This window comes from Homo sapiens, chromosome 5 (genome assembly GCF_000001405.40).
Source record: "Homo sapiens chromosome 5, GRCh38.p14 Primary Assembly".
NCBI classification, from domain to species: Eukaryota; Metazoa; Chordata; class Mammalia; order Primates; family Hominidae; genus Homo; species Homo sapiens.
In genome coordinates, this window is record NC_000005.10 from 71,900,879 (window position 1) to 71,926,484 (window position 25,606).

Here is a 25,606-nt window from a genome sequence, read left to right on the forward strand (position 1 = left end):
GGATGACTCATTCTATGGACACCACTCAGCCTCCTTCCCCAGCCACCCCTGTCCTTGCCCAACGGGCCCATGAACAAAGTGGCCATGGTGGCAGGGATGGAGGTTATGCATGGGCTCAGCAACATGGAATTCCACTCACCAAGGCTGACCTGGCTACAGCCACTGCTGAGTGCCCAATTTGCCAGCACAGAGACCAACACTGAGCCCCTGATATGACACCATTCCTTGGGGTGATCAGCTAGCTACCTAGTGGCAGGTTGATTATATTGGACCTCTTCCATCATGGAAAGGGCAGAGGTTTGTCCTCACTGGAATAGACACTTACTCTGGATATGGGTTTGCCTATCTTGCACGCAATGCTTCTGCCAAGACTAACATCTGTGGACTCATGGAATGCCTTATCCACTGTCATGGTATTCCACACAGCATTATCTCAGACCAAGGCACTCACTTTATGGCTAAAAAAGTGTGGCAGCGGGCTCGTGCTTATGAAATTCACTGGTCTTACCATGTCCCCCATCACTGAAGCAGCTGGATTGATAGAACGGTGGAATGGCCTCTTGGAGTCAATTACAATGCTAACTAGGTGACAGTACTTTGCAGGGCTGGGGCAGAGTTGTCCAGAAGGCCGTGTATGCTCTGAATCAGCATCCAATATATGGTACTGTTTCTCCCATAGCCAGGATTCACAGGTCCAAGAATCAAGGGGTGGAAGTGGAAGTGGCACCACTCATCATCACCCCTACTGATCCACTAGCAAAATTTTTGCTTTCTGTTCCTGCTGCATTATGTTCTGCTGGTCTAGAGGTCTTAGTTCCAGAGGGAGGAACGCTGTCACCAGGAGACACAACAACAATTCCATTAAACTGGAAGTTAAGATTGCCACCTGGACACTTTGGGTTCCTCCTACCTTTAAGTCAGCAGGCTAAGAAGGGAGTTACAATGTTGGCTCGGGTGGCTGACCTGGACTATCAAGATGAAATCAGTCTACTACTCCACAATGGAGGTAAGGAATAGTATGCATGGAATACAGGAGGTCCATTAGGGTGTCTCTTAGTGTTACCATGCCCTGTGATTAAGGTCAATGGGAAACTACGACAGCCCAATCCAGGCAGGACTACAAATGGTCCAGACCCCTCAGGAATGAAGGTTTGGGTCACTCCACCAAGAAAAAAACCATGATCTGCTGAGGCGCTTGCTGAAGGCAAAGGGTATAAAGAATGGGGAGTAGAAGAAGATAGTCATCAATATGAGCTACAACCATGTGACCAGCTGCAGAAACAAGGACTGTAACTGTCACGAGTATTTCCTCCTTCTTTTGTTAAAAACATCTTTGTGCATGTATACACTTGTACTAAGAAAAGATCTTCATTTTATTTCCTTCTCCTTTACCATGTGACACAAAATTTATTGACTTCATATCAGCATTTAAGTATTGTTAACTTTATGTAATGATATTTGGGTTGGGGATTGGTGCGTTTCCGGTTGTACAAAGAATAGTTGTATTACGTTAGGTGTAATTATGACCTTATCATCATCTTTATTTGAAGATTATGTATGATCTCAGGAGATGTGTATGGGTTCAAATTGACAAGGGGTGGACTTGTGATAGTTAATACTGAGTGTCAACTTGATTGGATTGAAGGATAAAAAGTATTGATCCTAGGTGTGTCTGTGAGGGTGTTGCTGAAAGAGATTAACATTTGAGTCAGTGGGCTGGGGAAGGCAGACTCACGTTTAATCTGGTGGGCACAATCTAATCAGCTGATATATATATCCTATTAGTTCTGTCCCTCTAGACAAACCTGACTAATACAATGTCCCTCTCACATTAAAATCTGGAAGAGGACAATCAAGGACCAGTGTTGTGGCTGTTTCCTAGAGTTCTCCACCATTCCTAGGGTATGGCTCTCAATTTCTTGCACCAAGAGGGTGGCTGGAACTCTAGCATTCATACCTACCAGACAGCAGGATGGAGGAAGGGACAAATAAGAAAGGAGGTTAAGAACCCAGGCCAGCTAAGTTGTAATGGATTTTCCCAAACATGGCTAAAATAAACTTCTGTCTATATGCCATTGGCCTGAACTAGTCATAGGTCATCATAACTATAATGAAGGCTGGGACATAAAGTCTATTCCAAGCAGCCATGGGACCTCCTAAAAATCAGGGTTCTGTTGTAAGGGGAAAAGGGGAGAATGAAGGCAAGGGAATGCTACAGAGAGAGTCCCTCATGTTTATTCCCCCATTCTATGATTTTCATAAGCAAAGGTTGAGGGAACCTAAAGTTATTGTGTGTGAAGGGGATGTGGAGGTAGGGGAAGTAAGGTGGACTTAGGAGAGGGCAGGGCTGTTAATGGCTGATGGAGGCAGTCTGAAGTGTTTGTAGTTCAATGGTTTATGACAAGGGCTCACCAAATTTTGTGCCCCCAAGGATTCACATATCTCATGCCCTATGCAGGGTTTCCTAGGCAAATTGTTTATTATTATAATTGGACAATAGTGTTGCTTAGTGCAATAGAATATTATCTGACCCTAGATCCTGTTTTGGGGATAGAGGGATTTATGGAAGAAATATTAAGAAAACAAAACAAAATGGGAAAACATATAGGAATATTTGATACTAAGTAGTCAAAACATGCCAAAGACCAAAACGACTTTGTACAAAAGCATGAGAAAGCTAATGTGGGAAAAAAGAAAGCCAGTGTGAAGTGAGCGTGTGTAAAACACCATTTTTTTCACTTTGGGACTAATGTGGGCAGCTGTGGACAGTCAGACTGCTTTAGATAATGAACAATGATTATTTAATTGTATTATCAATAATGGCAGCGTTTCTTTTTAAATTTAAGACCAGGTTATAAAGCACTTGGGTCTTATCTCCACGTACAACGTACGAAGTATGGACAGTTTCCTAGCTGCTAGAGCACATCCTTGGATTTGAGATAGGAATGCATTTAATAGACTGAATCAGTGCAGCTTTCTTTTGGAAATTTCAATTTCACTGCAAGCAATTTACATAGAGTCTCAGCTTGAATTCATAGCTCATATCTTGGTTGCTTTGGAGATAGCTTCTCTGTTGGAAAGGCAATTACGATCTGCAGGAGAAGCCTGTCTGCCATTAGTCTCCAGTTTTAAACGTTGACAGGTGGAGATGGAGGTGGGGGTGGGGGTGATTAATAAAGGGCTTTGTCTTTCTAGTCCATGGAAGGAAAGGGATTTAGGTGTCACAATTTCCTGGTCTCCAAGGATTTTTTTTTCCTCAACATTTCAAGCTTTTGAGCAAAATGAGAATATGTTTTTTGAAATCAGGGAATTTTGTTGCATTGTATATATTGGGACCATGAAATGACAAAGGCAGTCTCTTGAAGTTTTACTAAGCCATGGAAAAGAAATCTAGTGAGACTATAACATTCATCTTTAGCCTCTGAATGTGGATAGCTTTAAAATCTATACAGAGATTTTTGCTATACTCTTGGTTCTTCTTATGGAAAATGGAATAGGACTCTGGTTGTTGGTCCTCAGTGCCATTGTACCACAAAGCAGTCCTAATGTTCATGAGATGGCTTTTCCCCTTAACAGCTAATATGGTGAAATTGTTGTGTCTACAATTAGATCATGGTTCAGCCAAACAAATATGTATTTTATGAGTGACTTATTCTCTGTGAGGCCCTGATATAGCCCAGAGGCTTATGCATTCAAATCAGAGGCCTGAGTCGAGACCTGCCAGCATTTTCATCTAATTGACTTGGGCACAGGGACCCTTGATTCCTTCTCCTTTAATTATCACCTTATATTCAAGGCTAAAAGCTGTAATTATTTGAAGTAGCTGGAATTTGAGTGACCCAGATAATTATCTCAGCAAGATGGGCTTAAAGTTTATTGACACAAATGCCAGTTTCATTAAAGGTTTGGTACAAAAGGCAAGTGTCTGAGACAGCTGGTTGACTGAGGTGAATTGACAATGAACGGCACCAAAGACACAAGAATCACCAGGGACATTGAAGTAATTACCGTCATTTCCATAATACAGTTAGCAGAGGATTATGGGAAGCCAGAAAAACCTTTATGGTGATATTTTGCTTTGCCCAAATCGAGGCTAAGCTGCTAAGAATCAGAGGTCTTCTTTCCTCATCATTTCTCAATGACCATGACTCAGACTCCACTTAGGCTACAGGTAGTCAAAAGAAAGGTTAATGAGTCAAAATGAATGAAAACTGTAACCTGCCCTAGATTGTGGGTAGCAAAAGCTAACACTATGGCAACAGTAAAATTTGCACAGATATAGATTTTTTTCAATCTTACCTTATACATCTATACATCTATTTCTTTTGTGTGTTTAATAGATGACTAAAGATAGCACAATACCTGCCTGCTATAAAGTTAAAAATTTTAAACAATTAACATCTGAATTCAAACACATGCAATTAAGGCCTCAATACTGTATTTCAGAGTTTATTAGTTATCATTAAGTAGTAATAATTCCACATATAGATTAACCATAGATCACTTTGGGAATTAAACATTTTTGTACCATTTATTAAATGGTACTTCCTACTGTTGGCTAACATGTAGTAGGCATGTCATGTTTCCCTAAAGAGATTGTAAGCTATTGGAAGCAGTTGCTTCTAGTAACAATATCACCACAAACTCAGTGGCTTAAACAATGTACATTTATTATCTTACTGTTTCTGTGGGTCAGGAACCCAGGCATGATCTAAATGGGGGCTACACATCAAGGTCTCTCATGAGGCTACAATTAATATGTCAATCAGGACTAAGGTCTCATCTGAAAGCTTGAATGGGGAAGGATCCACTTCCAAGCTCATAAGTCGTATGTGTTTTTGTTTCCTCCAGCACCTGGCATTATGCTTTGCATGTGTAAGAGGCATTTGTTAGGAACAAAAGGGCATTTTGACTTCCATATACAGAAATATGTGGATGGGTAACTAAGTATGAGTGAAGTCACTACCCAGGGATTGATCTCTATGTTGAAGGAAGGCATGGGGATAGAGGTAATAATTTTCTAATCTGGGTGAACTATACCCCAGTTTGTGATAGGGTGTCTGGACAGATTACAGCTCTGGGTGAAAAAGTCTAAATAACAATGATAACAGCTTCCATTTATTGAGCAACTAACTTGTGCCAGATACTGTGCTGAGCAGATGAGAATGCAGAGGCCTAGGGGGGTTAAGTATCTTGCCTGAGAGTCATAAAGCTAATAAATGGCAGAGCTGGAAAACCTTATTCTATTAATGTCAAAGTGCATGTTCCCAACCACTACGCTTTATGCCCTCTGATAGATGGCCTTTTGGGTAGGGCACAGAGCAATTTAGCTCTGTGGGGAGTGAGGTATAGTGCTGCCTTAATCTCACAGTTCTTTTGTCCAAGAGAAATGTTAAGAAAGGATAAAAACTTTCACAGCAAGGTACTATTTAAATTGCTTTCCTTTTTATGTGGGCTAGTTTTAACAGCAAACAAGCCATAAATCAATGCCTAACCTCTGGCACAGCTTAGCAGTTAGGGTTGGGGAGAGGAGAAAATGATCACTCACAGTCAGGGTTGGGGAGAGGAGACAATGATCACTCACAGTCAGCAGCAGTGCCTGGAGATGGGCAGTGAGGCTGGTCTTCCAGAGTGGGTGGTCAGCAGAGCAGGATGCCATGGAGCAGAGCAGGAAGCCAGTGGCAAATGTGCAAGACCAGGCTGTGTTCCTTGTCAGCTGTCCCCTTGGCTTCCAGCCAGGGCAGGATTTTCTCCTCCAAGTCAGGTTATTATGCCCTTGTGGTTTGGGGGCTTCAAGGTCCCAAACCATTAACATCATAATCATATCACTCTCAGCAGATTTCTGTCCAGCATCCCCCATGATTTATTGTGAACACAAATAAGAAACACACTTATCAGTCAGGACAAGCCAGCTACCAGCCAGCCTAACTAGTAAAAATAACTAAACAATTTGATATTTCTATATACTGCACCCAGATATGCACAAACATATGCCCTTAAATACTAAGGCATTAGCATTAGTATTCTTGGCACTAAGGAAGTAACAATAATGATGCAGTGAATTATCACGGGAAGGAGCAAGGTCATTTTTCTTCCAGGATTTTTCAGACCCAGCATTTACTGCATGTCCTTCTGATGGTGGCTCTTTTTCTGTTACTTGTTATACTCTAGAATATTTGATGTTTTCTTGAAACTTCTTAAACTGTGCTAGGATGTGTCACTCATGGGCCAAAAGTGCTCTACCTCATCCCAGCTTTCCAGCTCCTCTTTCTCTCCTGACAGATGCTGCCATCCTACACCTCCCCAGCCGAGTACCACTGGGTGGAGGGACAGGAGACACAGAGACTTATCCCTTTTCTGAGTGTCACTGTCCATAGACACGCTACAAATATCTGGGCTTGTCAATGCTATATGACTAGAACCAAGTACTAAAGTGTGTGTATGCATAAGGGAAGGAATGGCTGGGCATGCCCAGACAGGCCAAAGAGTCAGTATTGAGGCAAAGTTATTTATAGAAGACAACCTGAGAATATAAACAAGTGACAGTTGAAACAGAAGGGAAACGTGAAAAACTGTCTTTATGGTGCTTCTTAAACTTTGCTGCACATTAGGATCATCTGTCATTTTGAAAACTTATAATATCTAGGCCACAGCTCCAACTAATCAAATCAGAATCTCTGGTGATAGAATCCTGGCAAAAATATTCTTTAACTCCTCAAGTCTCCTACACTGATGACCTAACAGAGGAGAAGTCTCACGCATATTTACATGTAAAAACTATGTTAGTTAATATCTATCACTGCATAACAGTGTTATCACAAACTCAGTCGTTTAAACAACACACATTTATTATCTCACAGTCTGTGGGTCAGGGATCCAGGCAGGACTTAACTGGGGGTGGTGCTTCAAGGTCTTTCATGAGGCTGCAATCAAAGTGTCAACCAGGGCTGAGGTCTCGTCTGAAAGCTGAGTGGTAAGTATCCACCTCTAAGCTCACATGGTTGTTGGCAGGATTCAGTTTCCTGTGCCTGTTGGACTGTGGGCCTCACTTTTTTTACTGACTGTTGGCTGGAGGCTGCCATCAGTTCCTGTCTATGTGGGCCTCCGAGTGATCACTTGTTCATCAAAACAAGCAAGCTGAGAAGGTAAAAAAGAGAGTCTGCTTTAGCAGGATGGAAGTTATTACAGAGTCTAACTGCCAAAGTGACATCCCATCTTCTTTCCTATATTCTGCTGGTTAGAAGCAAGTCATAGGTTCTGCCCTCCCTTAGGCGGGGGGATAACACAGAGGTGTGAATACCAGGAATTGGGGATAATTGTGGGCTATTTTAGAATCTGTCCAACACAAATACTATGTAACACAGTCTCTACTATTCTATGCACATCTGGCAGTCAGTAAAAAATTCTAAGTTACACAAAAAGGCAAGGAAAAAATCAAACGATTGTCAATAGGTGAAGCAATTAACAGAACAAGTTTCAGAGATGATCCCAATGTTGGTGCTAATAGAGAGAAACTTATTAGTAGACAGGCTTATTTGTAGAATCACCATAGTTATGGTGACTCCATGAACTTGAAGATAGAGCAATAAGAACTATCCATACTGAAATACAAATAAGAAAGGAGTGAAGAATAAAAAGAACACCACATCCAAGATCTGTGGGGCAACATCAAATGGAAGCTCAGAGGACTCCAAGCGTACAGACACACACACACACACACACACACACACACACACACACGACTTCTTATATCCAAACTGCTGAAAATCAAAGGTAAAGATAAAATATTGAGGACAGCCAGAGAAAAAATACACTTTACAGTTGAGGAGCAATGATAAGAAATATAGCAGAGTAGAAATGATGTGAACCAGAAGACAAAGGTGTGACATCTTAAGGAATTTTTTTAAAAAGCTGTTAGCCCAGGATTTTATACCCAGAGAAAATACTTTTAATAGGTGAAGATGAAGTAAAAACTTTTCAGAAAAAAGACTTATCATAGGACTACAATCTCATGAGAAACCTTAAGCTAGAGCCACCCAGCTAAGCCAGTACAAAATTCCTGACCCATAGAAGCTGGGAAATAAAACAAGTTCATTGTTTTAAGATGCTAATTTTGGGGGGTTGTTTTTTATGTAGCAATTAATAGAGACAGCTTCTCTGGTAAATTCTACCAAATATTTAGGGCAGAAATAATAACAGTTTTAACCAAACTGTTCCAGAAAATAGAAGAGGAGAAAATACTTCCCAATTCATTTTATAAGGCTAGCATAACCTTGATACCAAAACTATATATAGACTTTGTATAAATGAAAATTAAAGACCAATAACTCACATAAATGTAGACACAAAAATCCTTAACAAAATATTTGCAAATTGAGTCTAGCAATATATAAAAAGGATAATATATCTTATCCAAATGGGGTTTATTCTGGGAATGTAAGATTTCAAAATGTTAGAATAAATCAATTTCACCTTATTAACAGACTAGAAACAAAATATCATATTATCGCAATTGATGCAGAAAAATTATTCGAAAAAATTTAATATCTCATTGTGTTAAATCTCTCAGTAAACTAGTAAAAATGGTAACTTCCTTAAATTGATAAAGAATATTTACCAAAAACCCATAGCTAATATCATGCTTAATGGTGGAAGACTAAAATAGTTTCGCTGAGATTGGAAATAAAGCAAGGATGTCTCCTCCTACTATTCCTATACAGTATCATACTAGATATCCAAGCTAGCATAACAAGGCAAGAGAAAGAAATAAGAAGGTATAGATTGGAAAGGAAGAAATAAAATTATCTTAATTAACAAACAACATAATTGCACACACAGAGAATACCCGCAAAACCTGTAAAGATGTTTTTAGGTCTTATAAGTGAATTCAGCAAGATCATATGATACAAAGTCAATATTTTAAAAATTAAGTGTGTTTATATTTACTAGCAACAGACATTTGAAAATAGAAATCTAAAAAATAAAACCATTTATATATAAGACATAAAATACTAGAGATAGTATTGGCTAAATTTGTATGCTGAAAACTACAAAACATTGGTGAGAGATAACAAAAAGAGCTAAATAAATGAAGAATTATACCCTTTTCATGGATTAGAAAACTCAACATTGTTAAGATATCAGTTCTCTCCAAGCTAGTCTATAGATTCAATACTTAATCAAAATCTGGCCTGGCATTTTTATGAAAATTTTTCATCTAATTCTAAAATTTATGTAGAAAAGCAAAGACAACAGAATAGCCAAAGCAATTTTTTAAAAGACCAGATTTGGAGGACTCACACCACCTAATTTCTGTATTATTATAAAGCTACAGTAATTGAGACAGTGGGGTAATGGTGAAAGGACACACATGTATATCAACAATACCAAATACAGATTGTGTGTGTGTTATGTGTGTTTGCGCATATACACCCTCACAAACTGTATCTACAAAATTGATTTTTAACAAGAGTGTAAAGGCAATACAATGAAGAAAAAAAGTATTTTTTTTCAACAAATGATGCTGGAAAAATTAGATACTCATTGTTGTGATATTGCAAAATATATATTTGGTCTTTTTCCCTGGTTCTTGGCTCAAAGCTCCTAAAACTTTCAGAGTGACAGGGGTGATAGAAACATCTTTTATTATAATATTTGGTCTTAGCCCTGGTTCCTGACGCAAGAGCTTCAGGAATCTCTGGAGTGATGAGTGTCTTTTTTTATACTAGTGAGATGACTGGGACTGGAGGTTCTTAGGTAGCTTCAGGATGAGGGCTGGTCACCAGAAAGACCAAGGTGTGATTAGAGATTTGGAACTTTCAGCCCTACCTCCTGACCTCATGGGAGGAGAGAGGGGCTGGAAATTGAATTAAATCACCAATAATTCAAAGGCCAATAATTCATCAATCATGCCTATGTAATGGAAACTCCATCAAAACCTTAAAGTACGAGGTCAGAGACCTCCCAGGTTGCTGAACACATTAGAGGTTCTGGGAGGGTGGTGTGCCGTATGCATTTCTCCCATCTGGTTGTTCCTGAGTTGAATTATTTATAATAAAGTGGTAATAGTAAGTAAACTGTTTTCCTGAGTTCTATGAGTCATTCTAGCAAATTATTCAACCCAAGGATGGAGTCATGGGAATCTCTGATGTATTGCTGGTTGGTCAGGGGTACAGGAGGCCTGGGACTTGTGAATGGCGTGTATAATGGGGAGCAGTTTTGTAGAACTGGCCCCTTAATATATGGGGTGTGGTGTTAACTTTGAGCAGTTAGTGTCAGGATTGAATTGAATCATTGAACATCCAGCTGGTATCCTGGAGAGTTGGAAAATTGTTGTAGGTGTAAGAACCGTAAGAACCGCACATGCTTGGCTTCAGAAGTGTTCCAAAGGTTTGAACGGATAATACTAATTGGAAAAACAAACAACCAAACAAACAAATGAAAAGAATCTCGGTCCATAACCTGCACCATGTAACCTGAAAGACTATACACTGAAAGGTAAAACCCAACAATACTTTAAAAATCCTTGTTGAAAACATAGGATAAACTCTTTGTGAACTTGATAGAGGCAAAGATTTCCTAATGGAGACAAAAAGCACAAGCCAGAGAAGACAAAGTTAAATGCCATCACAACGAAAACTTCAGCTTTTTGAAAGACACTATTAAGAAAATTTAAAAAAAAATCCAGAGATTGGGGGAAAATATTTAAGACAGAATCTGAGGAGAAACGGTATCTAGAATTGATAGAAAACTCTGAAAACCATAATAAGAAAACAAGGCCGGGCGCGGTGGTTCACGCCTGTAATCCCAGCATTTTGGGAGACCGAGGCCGGTGGACCAACTGAGGTCAGGAGTTTGAGACCAGCCTGGCCAATATGGTGAAATCTCTCCTCTACTAAAAATACAAAATTAGCTGGGTGTGGTGGTGCATGCCAGTAACCCCACCTACTCGGGAGGCTGAGGCAGGAGAATTGCTTGAACCTGAGAGGCAGAGGTTGTGGTGAGCCGAGATCATGCCATTGCACTCCAACCTGGGCAACAAGAGCGAAACTCCATTTCAAAAAAAAAGAAAGAAAGAAAAGAAAAGAAAACAAGAAACTCAATTTTTAAAAATAGGCTAAAGATTTGGATAGATCTTTACCAAAGAAGAAATATGATGGCAACTACTAATAAGTACATAAAGAGATGCTCAACATCATTAGTAATTAGGGAAATAAAATTAAAATTACAAGTGAATACCACCATATATACCATAAATACAAGAATAATGACATTTTTTTACAATCTGAAAGTACTAAGTGTTGGCAAGGATGTGAAACAACTGGAACTTTCATACATTGCTGGTGGAAGAGCCATTTTGCTGGTTCAGCAACTTGGGAAAACAGTTTGGTAGTTTCTTATAAAGTTAAATACACACTTATTGTACAGTTCAGCAATCCTACTCCTAGGTATTTATCCAAAATAAATTTAGACATACGTCCACAAAAATCTTGTACCTGAATACTTACAGCAGCTTTATTCATGATTGTCCTAAACAAGAAGCAACCCAAATGTCTGTAAACTAGTGACTGGATTAAAAAAATTTGTGTTACAGCCTTAAAATGGAATACAATTCAGTTGCAAAAAGCAATAAAGTATTGATCTAGGCAAAATTACAGAGACAAAAAGCAGATCAAAGATTGCCAGGAGCTGGGGGTAGGGAGGGAAGTGGATTGACTACAAAGGGACATTAGAAAAGTTTTTGGGCTGATGGAAATATTGTACATCTTCATTGTGGGTGTAGTTACACAAAGATCTGTACATCTACAAAGGATACATTTTACTTTATGACAATTATATCTCCATACAGGTGACTTTTAAAAAATCGTGAAGAGATGAAAACTCAATTATGATATCTTTGCTTCTCACCAATATTGTACTAGAGGTCCTGGTTTGTACAATAAGACCGAAAGAGGAAATAAAAGGCTCCATATTGTCATTATTGGTGGATAGTATAATTTTCCACATAGAAAATAAACCAAAAGTGGTCCAAGAAAAACTATTATAATTAATAAGACAGTTTAGCAAGTTCACAAATGATAAAATCTATATGCAAAAGTCAATTCCATTTCTATTTGTCAGAATTTGCACTTTAATAAAGATATTATTTATAATTCTACCAAAGAAGATTACCTGTGAATAAATCTAATGAATGCTGTGAAGAAAATTGAAGACAGGGGAAGAGAAATGCCTGCCCAGCTCAGTAACCAAGGTGTTTCCCTGTTAAAATACCTATGAAATTATTAACAGGAAAAAGATTATGCCATTGCTGGAACTACATTGTGGCAGACTGCAAGGTTGTCTTGGGAAACACAAGTTCACCTAAGACAATATGAGGAAGGTATAAAACAGTGTAAAGGAAAATAACTTTGGGCACATATCCAGTAGCTGGGGCAGTCAGCTCTTTGTACCCAACAGAGAACTCCAATATTGCCTTTTATTTGGGTATCCACACAGCCCAGGATCCACTGGTGAGTAATAGAAAGTTGGAAATAAAAACAAAAAAAAATCAGTCTAACTTATTTTCCTTTAATATTTGATTTATTACGATAATAATAAAAATCACAAAATGTTTACATGGAATAATACAATGATCACCCTTGTACCCACCACCCAGCTTCATGAAAAGTTTGCCGTATTCTAGTAATGTTTTCACTTTCCTCTATTTCTGTTCATGAGGAAACAATTGCATGGAAGAAAAGGAGGATGGGTAACAGGACAAGTTTGTCTTTACCTCTTTTTTCTCATGATTATAAAGGGAAACAAAAATTCCATTCACAACTCCAAGACATAGCATGATGCATGTTAACATGGGTAACTAAAGAGGCAGTATCTAGAGGATTCAGAGAAGAGGCAAATGGTGATGTGTCTTTCAAATGCTCTTCATAGGTGAGCAAGGTGTGTCAGCAGGCGGGCAAATGGCCATGGATTAGGACCACTGTCCATGATGACATGTTGAAAGTAAACCCAAGGGTAGACCTGGCCCCAGAGCTCACAAGCATCACAAGCTGCTAACTGTGGACAGTGGTGAGCAGAATTTACTAACCCACCTCACTTGAAATTTCTGGTGTGTATCTCTACTTCTGTCTCCTGATTTTAGCCTGAGTGAGCATTGAGGGTTTTGAATTCTATATGGGTGGTTGATCAAGATCAAACCACAAAGATTATAGGAATATTTGCAGAGTTTAAGGATCTACATTGACATTATTAGGGTTCCAGACGGGGTTGGGAAAGGGTGCTAAGTAAATCACAGAGCCTTCACTTCCTAGACTCGGACACAGACTCAAGGAACAAGCAGGGTTTCTAAGGGGATTTCAGCCTTGTGGGGTCACAGGAAAGCCCAACTGGCTTTGACAGGTATGGCCTCTTACTGCTTAAATGTTGGGCTCTTATTTTAGATATTTTTGCCCCAGGGTTTAGCTGCATTTCTTCCTCACTCAGTTAAAAAATTCTCACTAGGTTCAAAGACTTCATAAGGATGTTTAAACCTACTTCACTGATCCAGGAAATGGTGCCTGGTAAGAACTAAAAATAAACCAGAAAGGCTCAGGCTGGGTTTCAATGGCAGACTCCAAGGAGTTCGAAGGATTTCTAAACTTGGCCAAAGGCTTTCCTGCTTTTCTATTTCAAGTTCATTCACTTGAGAATTTTCAAAATCTGAAGATCATTCCTTCCTTTTCCTGGAATTGAAAATAGAAGAACCCTGGCTTAACTTTGGAGCAGATTGCAATTTATATTTTGGTCCTTCTGTGATGCGATTATGATTGTATAATGAGGTAGTTAAGGGTATGGACATTGGAATCAGACAACCTGGGTTCAAACCCCAGCTTGTTTACTGACTGCCTATCAGGCCTTAACCTCTCTCAGCCTCAGTTTCTTTTTCTGCAAAGTCAGAGTTGATATGAGGATTAAATACACACATTATGTGTGTGTTTAACACAGGTACTAGAACACAGTGAGTATTCAGTAAATGGCAGCTCCTACCTTACTCTTATTATTTCAAACAAAACTTTCTCTTAATTTTCTATAATCATCTTGGAAATGAAGCCAATAGTATTCCAGGTTGTGTGTGAGTGTTAGTGTGTGTATCTGTGTGGGTGGGCGGAAGGTGGGGGGTGGTCAATACATTCATGTAACTTCTAGTCAGAGCTGCTACTGACTAACATCTGTTTCCTCATATTGCTGGGCACACAACTAAGGCCACCTTTCCCAGACTCCCTTGTAGTAAGGTGATGCCATGTAACTATGTTCTAGCCAAAAATGTGAACAGAAGTGGTATGTGCCATTTGTAGTCTTGGCCCATGGATATTTCCCTTTAAGTCCTCCTTCCTGCTCTTTCCCCTGGGATGGAGATGATTGTGGTGATCTTAGAAACTCTAGATGAAGATGACAGAGCCCCTGTCAGCCTGAGTCCTTGAATGACAGTTGGGGGATGGAAGCAAGACAACCTCCACTGAGAAGGAACATCTACCTTGGACTAAGATAAACTTCTACTGTGTCTGAAACATTATGTTATTAATTGTTATTTGTTATAATAACTAGATCCAAATGCCTAGTGCCTTCTTGATCACCTCCTTCCTTAATTTATACTTCTTTTTAGCTTTCCATTTAAAATTCTTGACTTAAGTAAAAGTTAAAGCAGAGTTTCCCGGGAGGCCAATTAACCAAAATCAACATCTAGGAGTGTCTATTGATTTTACGGAGTGCTTCTGCTCTTTATTTCCTAAGACCCAGGGATCTTGGGAATTAAGCCTCACTAAGACAGAATTTTGAGGGTGAATGTGGGAAGGTTCGGACTACCTGGATTTTACTGTTCTTGACATCAGAGACTTAAGTGTAACAAGTAGAGTTCACTTAGACACGTGTCTCCATTTGAACATACTTAAAAGGGTTCGTGAAAACGAACAAAGGCTTAGTTGAGAATGACTAGAATCACTAATGGAAATTAGATTCAATTTAAAACATACAGTTAATTGCAAAAAGTATAAAGAATATACAGCAGGTTTTCACATCAGTCTCTAGTTCCTGCCTACTTACAGAATAGTCACCCTTAACAAATAAAATTCAGGAAAGAGTCTCTACTCCAAGTCTCTGTATCCTCTTTTGTGGGTTCCCTGTTGCTATTGTCCCCAGGCCACTGTGCACCAGAATCTTTCTTTCTTTAAGTACTTGCTTTATGTACTAAGTCTTACTAATTGTCTCCAGACAACTCTGCTTTTTCCTAATGTGCCTGGCAAAATGTTGGCTGCTTCCTTTACCTGTTAATAAAAATGATTGCCCATTCGCACCTGCTTGTACCACCAGGTGGGCCTGAGGGCAGGTCTGCCCAACTTGGTGCTGCTTCCCAACTCCCAAGTACCTGAGCACACCATCTAGGGGCCTGGGGATCACCCAGCCCAGTCCACCATGAGTGGCACCTGAGCACTCTTCCTGGGATCTGAGGTTGGCTCCATTCAACTTGGTGCTACCATCAAAGCTGACACTCACCTGTAGGTCTGGGGACTGGACCACCCAACCTGTTGCAATGACTGCCAATACCAATGTGGACCACTTGGGTCCCGGAGGGTTGTTCCACTACTACTATTGCCATTAACCATGCCACACATTTTCTTCCCAATAGCTTGAGAACCTACTCACCCACCCAACTCACTGCTGTCATTCCCAGCACCCAAGCAATCCACCTGGAGGCTCAATAATTGACTGGCTTGGAGCTGCTAACACCAGGACCAGTGTATGCCACCCTGGGGCTCAAGGACAGGCATGCTCAGCCCACCGCTGCCACCACTGAGGCTTCAAGACTTGCCCAACTGATGTCCTAATCCTCAGCCAAACTTTACCACAGCCCCCATTAACAAATGCACCCTAAGCCATCAAGGAAATCACAGACGTCACTGATGTAACCATACAGAAACTACAGTACTGCATGCACCCAGAATCAAAACCAAAGTGCCCTACCCAAAAAACACAATAGATATAACTTCAGGAAAAATTCCTCCCCTATGAAATCAAATTTAAAAAATGGGAAGAAGTGACTGTTACACCAGATGTGCAGTTATCAATGTAAAAACATACGAAACTTTAAAAAGCAAGGAACTGTAACACCTTCAAAGGAATATAATCATTTTCCACTAACAAATTCCAACCAAAAAAAATTTACAGAATTCCAGAAAAATTCAAAATATTGATACTGAAGGAGTTCAGTGGGATACAAGACAATTCTGAAAAACAATATTAAAAAATGAGAAAAACTATTCAGGATATGAATAAGATATCCTCATATCAAAGGGACAGATTTGAAAAAGAATAAAACTGAAATTCTCAAACTGAAAACTACATTGAATTAAATACAAAATACATTCAAAAGCCTCAATAATAGGCTAGGTCAGGCAGAAGAAAGAATATCAGAACTTTAAGGCAGGTCATTTGAAGTAATCCTGTCAGATTAAAACAAATAATAAAGAATAAGCAAAGCCTTTGCAACATGTGGGGCCCTTTCATAAAATGCAATATTTGAATTTTTGGTGTTCCAGAAGGTGAAGAGGAAACAAAAGAGTTAGAAAGCCTATTTAACAAAATAATAGATAAAAACTTCCCAAGTCTAGCAAGAGATTTAGACATCCAGATATAAGAGGCTCAAAGATCCCTAAACAGATAAAATTCAAAAAGGTCTTTTTCATAGCACATTATAGTCAAACTGTCAAAAATCAAAGACAAAGATAAAATTCTAGAGAATCAAGAGAAAAACACTTAGTCACAATAAAGATATCCCCGTCAGACTAACAATGGATTTCTCAGCAAAAACCTTCAGGACTAGAGAGAATGGGATGATATTTAAAGTGCTGAAGGAAAAAAAATTCCAGCCAAGGATACTATGTCCAGTAAAAGTATCATTCATGAAGGAAGAAGAAATAAAGTCTTTCCCAGAGAAGCAAAAGCTGAGGAAATTTATCCTTACTAGACTGGCCCTTTGAGAAATGTTTAAAGGATTTCTATAACTGGAAGAAAAAGAACAATAAGTACCATCATGGAAACACATGAAAATATAAAAACCACTGCTAGAGCAAACACACAAACAAGGAAGAGAAAAACTTAAATGTTACTGCTACAGAATACCACCAAACCACAATGAAAACAGTAACAGAGAAAGAAAGAAACAAATGATATACCAAACAAGATATTAAGTAATAAAATGAAAGGAATAAGCCCTTATATATCAATAATAAACTTTAGTGTAAATGAATTAAACTTGCTACCTAAAAGATATGGACTGGCTGAATGGATTAAAAAAATGATTCAATGATATACTGCCTATGAGAAACTCATCTCACCTCTAAAGACACATAAAATGACAACAAAGTGATGGAAAAAGGTATTGCAGGCAAACAGAAAGCAAAAGTGAGCAGGAGGAGCTATATTAATATCAGAGAAAACAGACTTTAAGACAAAAACAGTAAAAAAATACGAAGAAGCTCATTATATAATGATAAAGGGATGAATTTAGCAAGAATATATAACAATTCTAAACATATGTGCATCCAATACCAAAATATCCAAATACGCAAAGAAAATATTGTTAGGCATAAGGGGAGAGACAGACCCAAATATAATAACACTTAGGGACTTCAGTACCCTATTCTCAGCATTATACAGATCATTTACACTGAAAATTAAAAGAACATTGAATTTAAACTTCACATTAAACCAAATGGACCTAACAAATATTTACAAAACATTTTATCCAACAACTGCAGAATACACATTCTTCTCATTGGCACACAAAACGTTCTCCAGGATACGTCATATGTTAGGACAAAATCAAGTCTCAACAAATTTAAAAAAAATCAAAATCATATCAAGTATCTTCTCAGACCACAGTAGAATATAAGCTAGAAATCAACAACAAGAGAAACTTTGGAAACTGTACAAATATATGAAAATTAAACTACATGCTTCTGAATGACAAGTGGGTCAAGGAAGAAATTAAGGGGGAAATTAAAAAAATTCTTGAAATAAATAAAAATGAACATATTATGTAACAAAACCTATGGGATACAGCAAAGCAGTGCTAAAAGGAAACTTTTTAGTAGTAAATACCTACATCAAAAAACTAAAAAGATTTCAAACTAATTATTTGATGATGCATCTCATGGAACTAGAAAAACAAGAACAAACCAAACCCAACATTTGTAGAAGGAAAGAATTAATGATGACCAGAGCAGAACTAAACAAAATAGACACTAAAAACCAATACAAAGAATCAATGAAATTAAAAGCTGAGTCTTTTGGAGATGAAAATCAACAAACCACTTGCTAGGCTAACCAAGAAAAAAATTAGAGAAGACCCACGTAAATAAAACAAGAAATGAAAAAGTAGACATTACTACTGGTATCACAGAAATACAGAAGATCATCAGAGACTAATATAAACACCTATACACTGACAAACTAGAAACTCTAGAGGAAATGGATGAATTCCTGGAAACATACAACCTACCAAGATTGAATTAGGAAGTAGCAGAAACCTTGAGCAAGGCAATAAGAAAAAGCATGATTGAATTAGCGATGAAAAGTCTCCCAAAAAAGAAAAATCCAAGACCAGATAGCTTCATGGCCGAATTCTACTAAACTTTCAAAGCAAAACTAACACACCAATTCTCAAAAAAATAAGGAAAGGGAAATATTCTCTTCAAGGCCTCAAAAAATTAAGGAAAGGGAAATATTCTCTTCAAGGCTAGCATTACCCTGATACCAAAGCTAGACAAGGATACAACAAAAAAAGAAAATCACAGGCTAATATCCCAGATGAATATAGATGCAAAAATTCTCAAGAAAATACTAGCAAGCCAAACCCAACAACACATCAAAAAAATTATATACTATGGTCAAGTGGGATTTATCTCAGGAATGCAAGAATTGTTTAACATACATGAATCAATAAACATGATATATCAACAGAATGAAAGACAAAAACCATATAATCCTCTTGATAGACACAGAAAAAGCATTTGATAAAATTCAACATTCCTTCATGACAAAAACTCTCAACAAACTGGGCTTAGAAGGAATTTACTTCAACATAACAAGGGTCATATATGACAAACCCACAGCTAATGTCAAATTGAATGGGGAGAAACTAAAAAGTCTTTCCCACAAGAAGTGGAACAGGACAAGGATGCCCGCTTTCACTACTCCTATTCAACATAGTACTGGAAGTTCTAGCCAGAGCAATCAGGCAAGAGAAAACAATAAAAGGGATCCAAATTAGAAAAAAGAAAGTCAAATTGTCCGTCTTTGCTGATGACATGATTTTACATCTAGAAAAACCTAAAGTTTTCACCAAAAACACTTTTAGATCTGATAAATAAATTCAGTAAAGTTTCAGTATACAAAATCAACATACAAAAATCAGTGACATTTCTATATACCAATAATAAACTAGCTGAGAAAGAAATCAAGAAGTCAATCCCATTTACAATGGCTACAAAAAAACCACCTAGGAATAAATTTAACCAAGGAGGTTGTAGAGGTGAAAGCAACTCCATCTTGGTTGCTAATCAGCCATGTTGACTTCTCATTAACCCCAGTTCCAAGAAGGCCTCTAAGATTTCCAGTTTATCTATTATTCCTTGTGTAAGAGCAGACACTTAACATAAATCCTGCCCTTAGGTCAAAGCAACCTTGATGTCATTGTACCTCAATTGCCCTACATATCCCTTCCAAATCACATGTACCAGTTTCCTATGGTATATAACCCCTGAATCTGGATAAGGGCAGGGATCCACCACCTTGTCTTGCTGCCACCTAAGACATAGACATAACTTCTGTTCATAAGTCATGATTAAATGTTTCTTTCTAAGAAACTGGATTTATCAGTCTCCTTCTTTTGTCTGTCAGCTTCCATGGACTTTGGGGGCAGGTTTGCATAGGCCTGCCCACCATGGAACAGAGGTGAAAGATCTCTAAAAGGAAAACTACAAAACACTGATAAAATAAATTGAAGAGGGCACAAACATCCCATGCTCATGGATCAAAAGAATTAATATCATTAGGAAGACCATACTGCCCAAAGATATCTATAGATTCAATCCAAGCCCTATCAAAATGCCAATGTCATTTTTTTCATAGAAATAGAGAAAAAATTTAAATTTGTATGGAACTGAAAAAGAACCTGAATAGTCAAAGCAATCCTGAACAAAAAGGACAAAGCTGGAGGCATCACACTACCTGACTTCAAAATATATTGCAAGACTATAGTAACCAAAACAGCATGGTATTGATATAAGAACAAGCACATAGACCAATGGAAGAGAATAGAAAATCCAGAAATAAATCCACATATTTCTAGACAACTGATTTTCAACCATGGTGCTAAGAACATACATTGAGGAGAGGACATGGGAAGCTGGATATCAATATACAGAAGAATGAAACTAGACTCCTATCTCTCACCATATATAAAAATCAACTCAAGATGGATTAAAGACTTAAACATAAGACTGAAACTATAAAATTAATAGAAGAAAACATAGGGAAAACACTTTATGGCATTGGTCTAGGCAAAGATTTTATCGCTAAGACCTCAAAAGCACAGGGAGCAAAAACAAAAATAGAAAAAATGGGATTATATTAAATTTAAAAAGTGTCTGCACAGCAAGGAAACAATCAACAGAGTGAAGAGACAATCTACTGAATTGGAGAAAATATTTTCAAACTCTTCATCAGACAAGGAACTAATACCCAGGTTATGTCAGAAACTCAAACAACTAAGTGATGTTAGGCATATATATATCATCAGGGAAATGCAAATCAAATGTGATATCTACCACAATGAGATATCATCTCATCCCAGTTAGAATGGCTATTATTAAAAAGACAAAAAAAAAAAAACAAGTGCTAGTAAGATGATGCAGAGAAGAGAAAATTTTTATACATGGTTGATGGGAATGTAAATTAGTACAGCCACTATGGAAAACAGTATGAAGATTCTCAAAAAGTAAAAACAGAGTTACCATATGACCCAGTAATCCCACTACTGGATATTTATCTGTAGGAAAATAAATCAGTATATCAAAGAGATACCCATACTCACATGTTTATTGCAGCACTATTCATAATAACAAATATATGGAATTAACCTAAATGTCAATCAATGGACAAATGAATAAAAAAAAGTGTTATATGTACAAGGTGGAATATTATTAAGCCATTGAAAAGGAATGGAACTATGTCATTTTGAGCAACATGGATGGAACTGGAGTTCCATTATGTTAAGTGAAATAAGCTAGACACAGAAAAATAAATTTTGTATGTTCTCTCTCATATGTGAAAGCTAAAAAATTTGATCTCATGGAGACAGAGAGTAGAATGATAAATACCAGAGGCTGGAATGGGGTGTGGGTGGGAGGGGAGGATGATGAGAGGTTGTTTAATGGATACAAACATACAGTTAGATAGAAGGTATATGTTTATATGTTTGACAGCAGAGCGGGGTGACTGTAGTTAGCAACAATGTATTGTATATTTCAAAGTAGCTAGAAGAGAGAACTTGAAATATCCCCAACATACAGAAATGATAAATACTCAAGGTAACAGATACCCCAAATACCCTGACTTGATCATTACACTTTCTATGCATGTAACAAAATATCATATATACCTCCATAAATATGTAAAATATTATGTATTAATACAAAAATGGCTGGCTGTTAATGAATATAACTAGCTTACCAGAGCCCTCTAGCTGCCCTCTTTCTGCAATAGTGATGACTAGGAAGTTGCTAAGCTTTTTCACCCTTGTATAGCACCTTGATATTTCCTGTGTGAGTCACACCATTACTATCCCTCCAACAACAGAGGCTGAAAAAAATTACACTCCAGGCCTTGTTTCTCACACAATAGGGCTTGGCAGCATGCTCCACCCTCAGATTCTATTCCTAGGGCTTACCCTCCAAGGAGTCTGCAATGGACTGGATGTTTTTGTCTCCCCTTTTTCCTCCCAAATTCATATGATAAAAAGCTCATCCTAATGTGATGGTATTTGGAGAAGAGGCCTTTGGGAGGTCATTAGGTCATTAGGATGGAATCCTCATGAATGGGATTCAGGCCAGTATAAGAAGAGGCCAGAGAGCTAGCTATTTTTTGCTCTTCTATGTGAGATACAATGAAAAGTCAGATATCTACAAACCAGGAAGTAACCTCTCGCCAGACACTGGATCTGCTGGCTCCTTTATCTTGGACTTGCCAGGCTCCACAACTGTAAGAAATAAATGTTTCTTGATAAAATAAATGTTTGTTGTACCAGTCTATGATAATTTGTTATAGCAGCCTTAACTGACCAAAACAGTAAATATATTACGTACATACAAGATGTGAACACAAACCAAAACTCCTTATTGAGTCCACTAAAGCTTTCCATGAGAGTTCTGAGAATAGTTCTGCCAAAACAAGTGTTGGAAGGAGTATGAAGGGGTTGCTGGAGCTTGGAGGTAGTGACCTACCAATTCAAATTAGATGTTATGTAGCTCATGGTAGATGTGTAGGTAGATAGCTAGCGCCCTTGATTGCCAATGAGTAAGCAATGTTAGTTGAAAAACAGAACTAGAATTAAGGGTAGTTCTGTAGTTAAGGATACAGATTCCCAGGGTACTCCACTATAATCCACACTGTACTTGCAAAGATTAAAATATTATTCAAAAGAAACAAAATTGTATGAAGGAAATTCCAAAATCCCATAGCCTTCATATTCCAAAACCAGGTTTTTTTGAAAAGAATTCCAGGATACATTTCAAAACAGAGAAGTTTCTAATTTTCAGATCATTATTCATTCTGAAGTTATGACAAAGCAACAATTGATTTGAACAGGTAATGCATAATTAATTGAAGTCAATAAATTAGAATTCCCCTTAAGACAGAATCAGTCCTTCTTGTCCTGGATCTTTGGCTGTTTTCAGCAGTTTTGTACTGAGCTAAACTAGATGGGAAGTTTTCCTTAAGAATTTCCAAGGAATGGGAAGAATGGTGAATACTTGGGAGTACATCTTCCTTAGGGAAGGAGAGAAAGGAATGTAGGTTGCACAACCAATATGCAGTAGGTGCTTTATAGATACTATTTATTCACTTGATGTTCTCAAATATCAAAGTTAGTGTTATTATTTTCATTTCGCATATATAGTTAAGCAAGTTGAACACGATCAGTTGACTATTAAGTAGAAGACATAGTACTCAAATGTGACCTGCTGGGCTTCAAAACTCATCTTTTCACTGTCAGATGCCCTGGTATCTATCACAGAGCATGAGTTATCTTCCTACTAAATGCAGATGGTTTAAGAAGAGAATGCAATAATGACTATTATAAGGTCAGCAAGAAGTTCTAGTTCTACAACTGAGCCCTAGAACTTTCTCTCTAAATACTTCAACAGGAGTCTTGTTTCTTCTAATGTTCAACTGCCTTCTGACCCAGGCTGAAGTATTCCTTTGTAATTGGCAGAGTTTCAATTCATAGTGATTCAGTAGTACAGAGAAATGGGTAGGCTTTGATTTTTCAATCCATTTCAGCCACCAAATCTCACTCTGCTCTCCTTTCTTTGGCCTCTAGTGAAGTTGTTGTTGAGCTTTAGTATACATAAAAAACAGCTGATGGAATTGTTTAAAAATGAATGTTTTGGCTTCTATCCTAGAAAGCCAAGAGGTTTGGGGTGAGGCCAAGAATCTGCATTTTTTACAAACATCTCAGGTGATCAGGGAAATCTGAGTTTGTAAGTGCCTTAATTTTCCTTATTACTCTCATTTTCCTTTTATGTTTTTGTTTTAATCTCACACTCTGTTGGGATTGGGATTTCTTTTATAAGCCATGCTCTTTTGTTCTCTGCACTTCTAGAACTGCCCTGCTAGTGTATGGTCTGGGGGTATGAAGGCTCAGGACTAAAACCAGAAAAACAGAGGTAACATCTAATAGCTAGAGGCTCTAAGAGGGAAAATGCTTCAGTTAGGAGGCATAGAAGAGGCTACTAAATAAAATGTTAGTGGTGTAATATTATTCTTCTGGAAAAAATATGGCCATATAGTCAAGACAAACACAAAAGAGGGACACAAACCTGAAGGAATCAAGCCAAAAAGGTAAAATCCCAGAACAAACTGAGGCTCGTGAAAAGTGGTAAGGGCAAAAACCAAGGGCTCTTAGGAAGCTACACAGGGATTAAGAGCAACGAAGAAATAAAGGCCAGGAGCAGATGATGTAATGTTGACAGACAGCAAGACAAGCAGCACTGCTCATTTCCTGTTTTACTTCCCTACTCCATCAGGGAGAAGGATCTCCAAGCTGCAAATTTATAGAATAAACATTTCTTAAGGAAAATGTAATCCAAAGATGAAGTTGGGGCTTGGGAAAGATCTATTTGCACAGTGAGTGCGGCTTTTAAGACCAGAAGAATTACATTACAGAGCACCCCAAATTGGCACTGGAGTTGCAAGGGTTGTTGGTTATCTTTAAGGGCTATGGAGAAAGAGGTGCCAAATGACCAGAGGCAAGCAAATCTCTTGATTTTTCTTTAAGTTTGTTTTTAAAAAACCACTGCTCTGAATACCCTGTAGAATCCTAGAAGAGATGACAATTCATTTGGAGAAAGGAGTGTCTGTAAAGGAGTCAGCCCCTCCACAGGCTCAAGTACCTATTGGAGGCAAAGCTTAGAAGGATACATTTTTAGCTTAGACCCTTGGTGCCAGGCTGCCTGGTACTGGGAGATGGGTGGCTGGCTTACCTCGACTCCACTCAGAGGAAGGCCTTGCCAGAAAGACCCGGGAATGCAAACAATCTCCTGGCAACAGTGATCTCCTTTGCCCTGCCAATGTCTGGTGAGAGAGAGAGGTGGAGAGACAGAGAGAGAAGAAGAGAGAGAGAGAGAGAGACGCAAACACACACACACACACACGCACACACACACACACACACACACAGAAAACAGAGTTAGGAGTGAAAGAGAGAGAACAGAGAGAGTCAGGGTAGGAGGGAGGGAGAGAGGCAGGGAGAGGGGAGGGGAAAAGAGCCTGCTTCCCTACATTTGGTCTAGCATTTGGCTATTTGTTGACATCTGTGTCCCATCAATTTCTGAGTTGTTGATCAGAGTCCAAAGCAAAGGAATAGCTCAACAAGAGGAAAAATATGGGTTTGTCATACCATCCAGATCCCTCCCTGATCCTCTCAGCTGGTGATATTACCAGTAAAGAGACAGGGACTTCTGAGGAAGGTGGCTCTGACCACCAGGACCTCTGTAAAGACTTCTAATTGAACTACTTAAGGCAGAGGTTTTCAATAGGCAAGAGACAAAGGGGTGGAGCAAGATTTCCCCACAAGGGAAATTAAGAAATGCCTGGAGACACTTTGGTGGTCACAACTGAGGGGAAGGAATGCCACTGGCACCCAGTGGGTAGAGGCTGAGGATGCTGCTATAATTCCTACAATGCACAGGACAGCACCCACAACAAAATCTTATCCCAAAATCTAGCCCAAAATATTCATAGTGCTGAGGTTGAGAAACCATGTTTTAAGGGGATTTAACACCAGAGGCCTCAG

The 25,606-nt window shown here is 38.4% G+C and overlaps 1 long non-coding RNA gene across 1 annotated transcript, besides 1 other annotated feature; it reads right to left on the reverse strand.

Moving 5' to 3' along the window:
* Window positions 6,429-6,548: an enhancer, noted in NCBI's record as "active region_22643". NCBI's record gives its function as "activates an Ori minimal core promoter by ATAC-STARR-seq in GM12878 lymphoblastoid cells {active_cell/tissue: GM12878}" and the evidence as "EXISTENCE:reporter gene assay evidence [ECO:0000049][PMID:35858748]".
* LOC107986382 (uncharacterized) lies at window positions 6,831-24,938 on the reverse strand. Its single transcript, XR_001742515.2, has 3 exons — window positions 24,795-24,938; window positions 22,223-22,291; window positions 6,831-7,137 (listed from the first exon to the last, which is right to left on the reverse strand). It is a non-coding gene; the product is annotated as an uncharacterized LOC107986382 (long non-coding RNA).
* Between the last annotated feature and the right edge of the window lie 668 nt (window positions 24,939-25,606).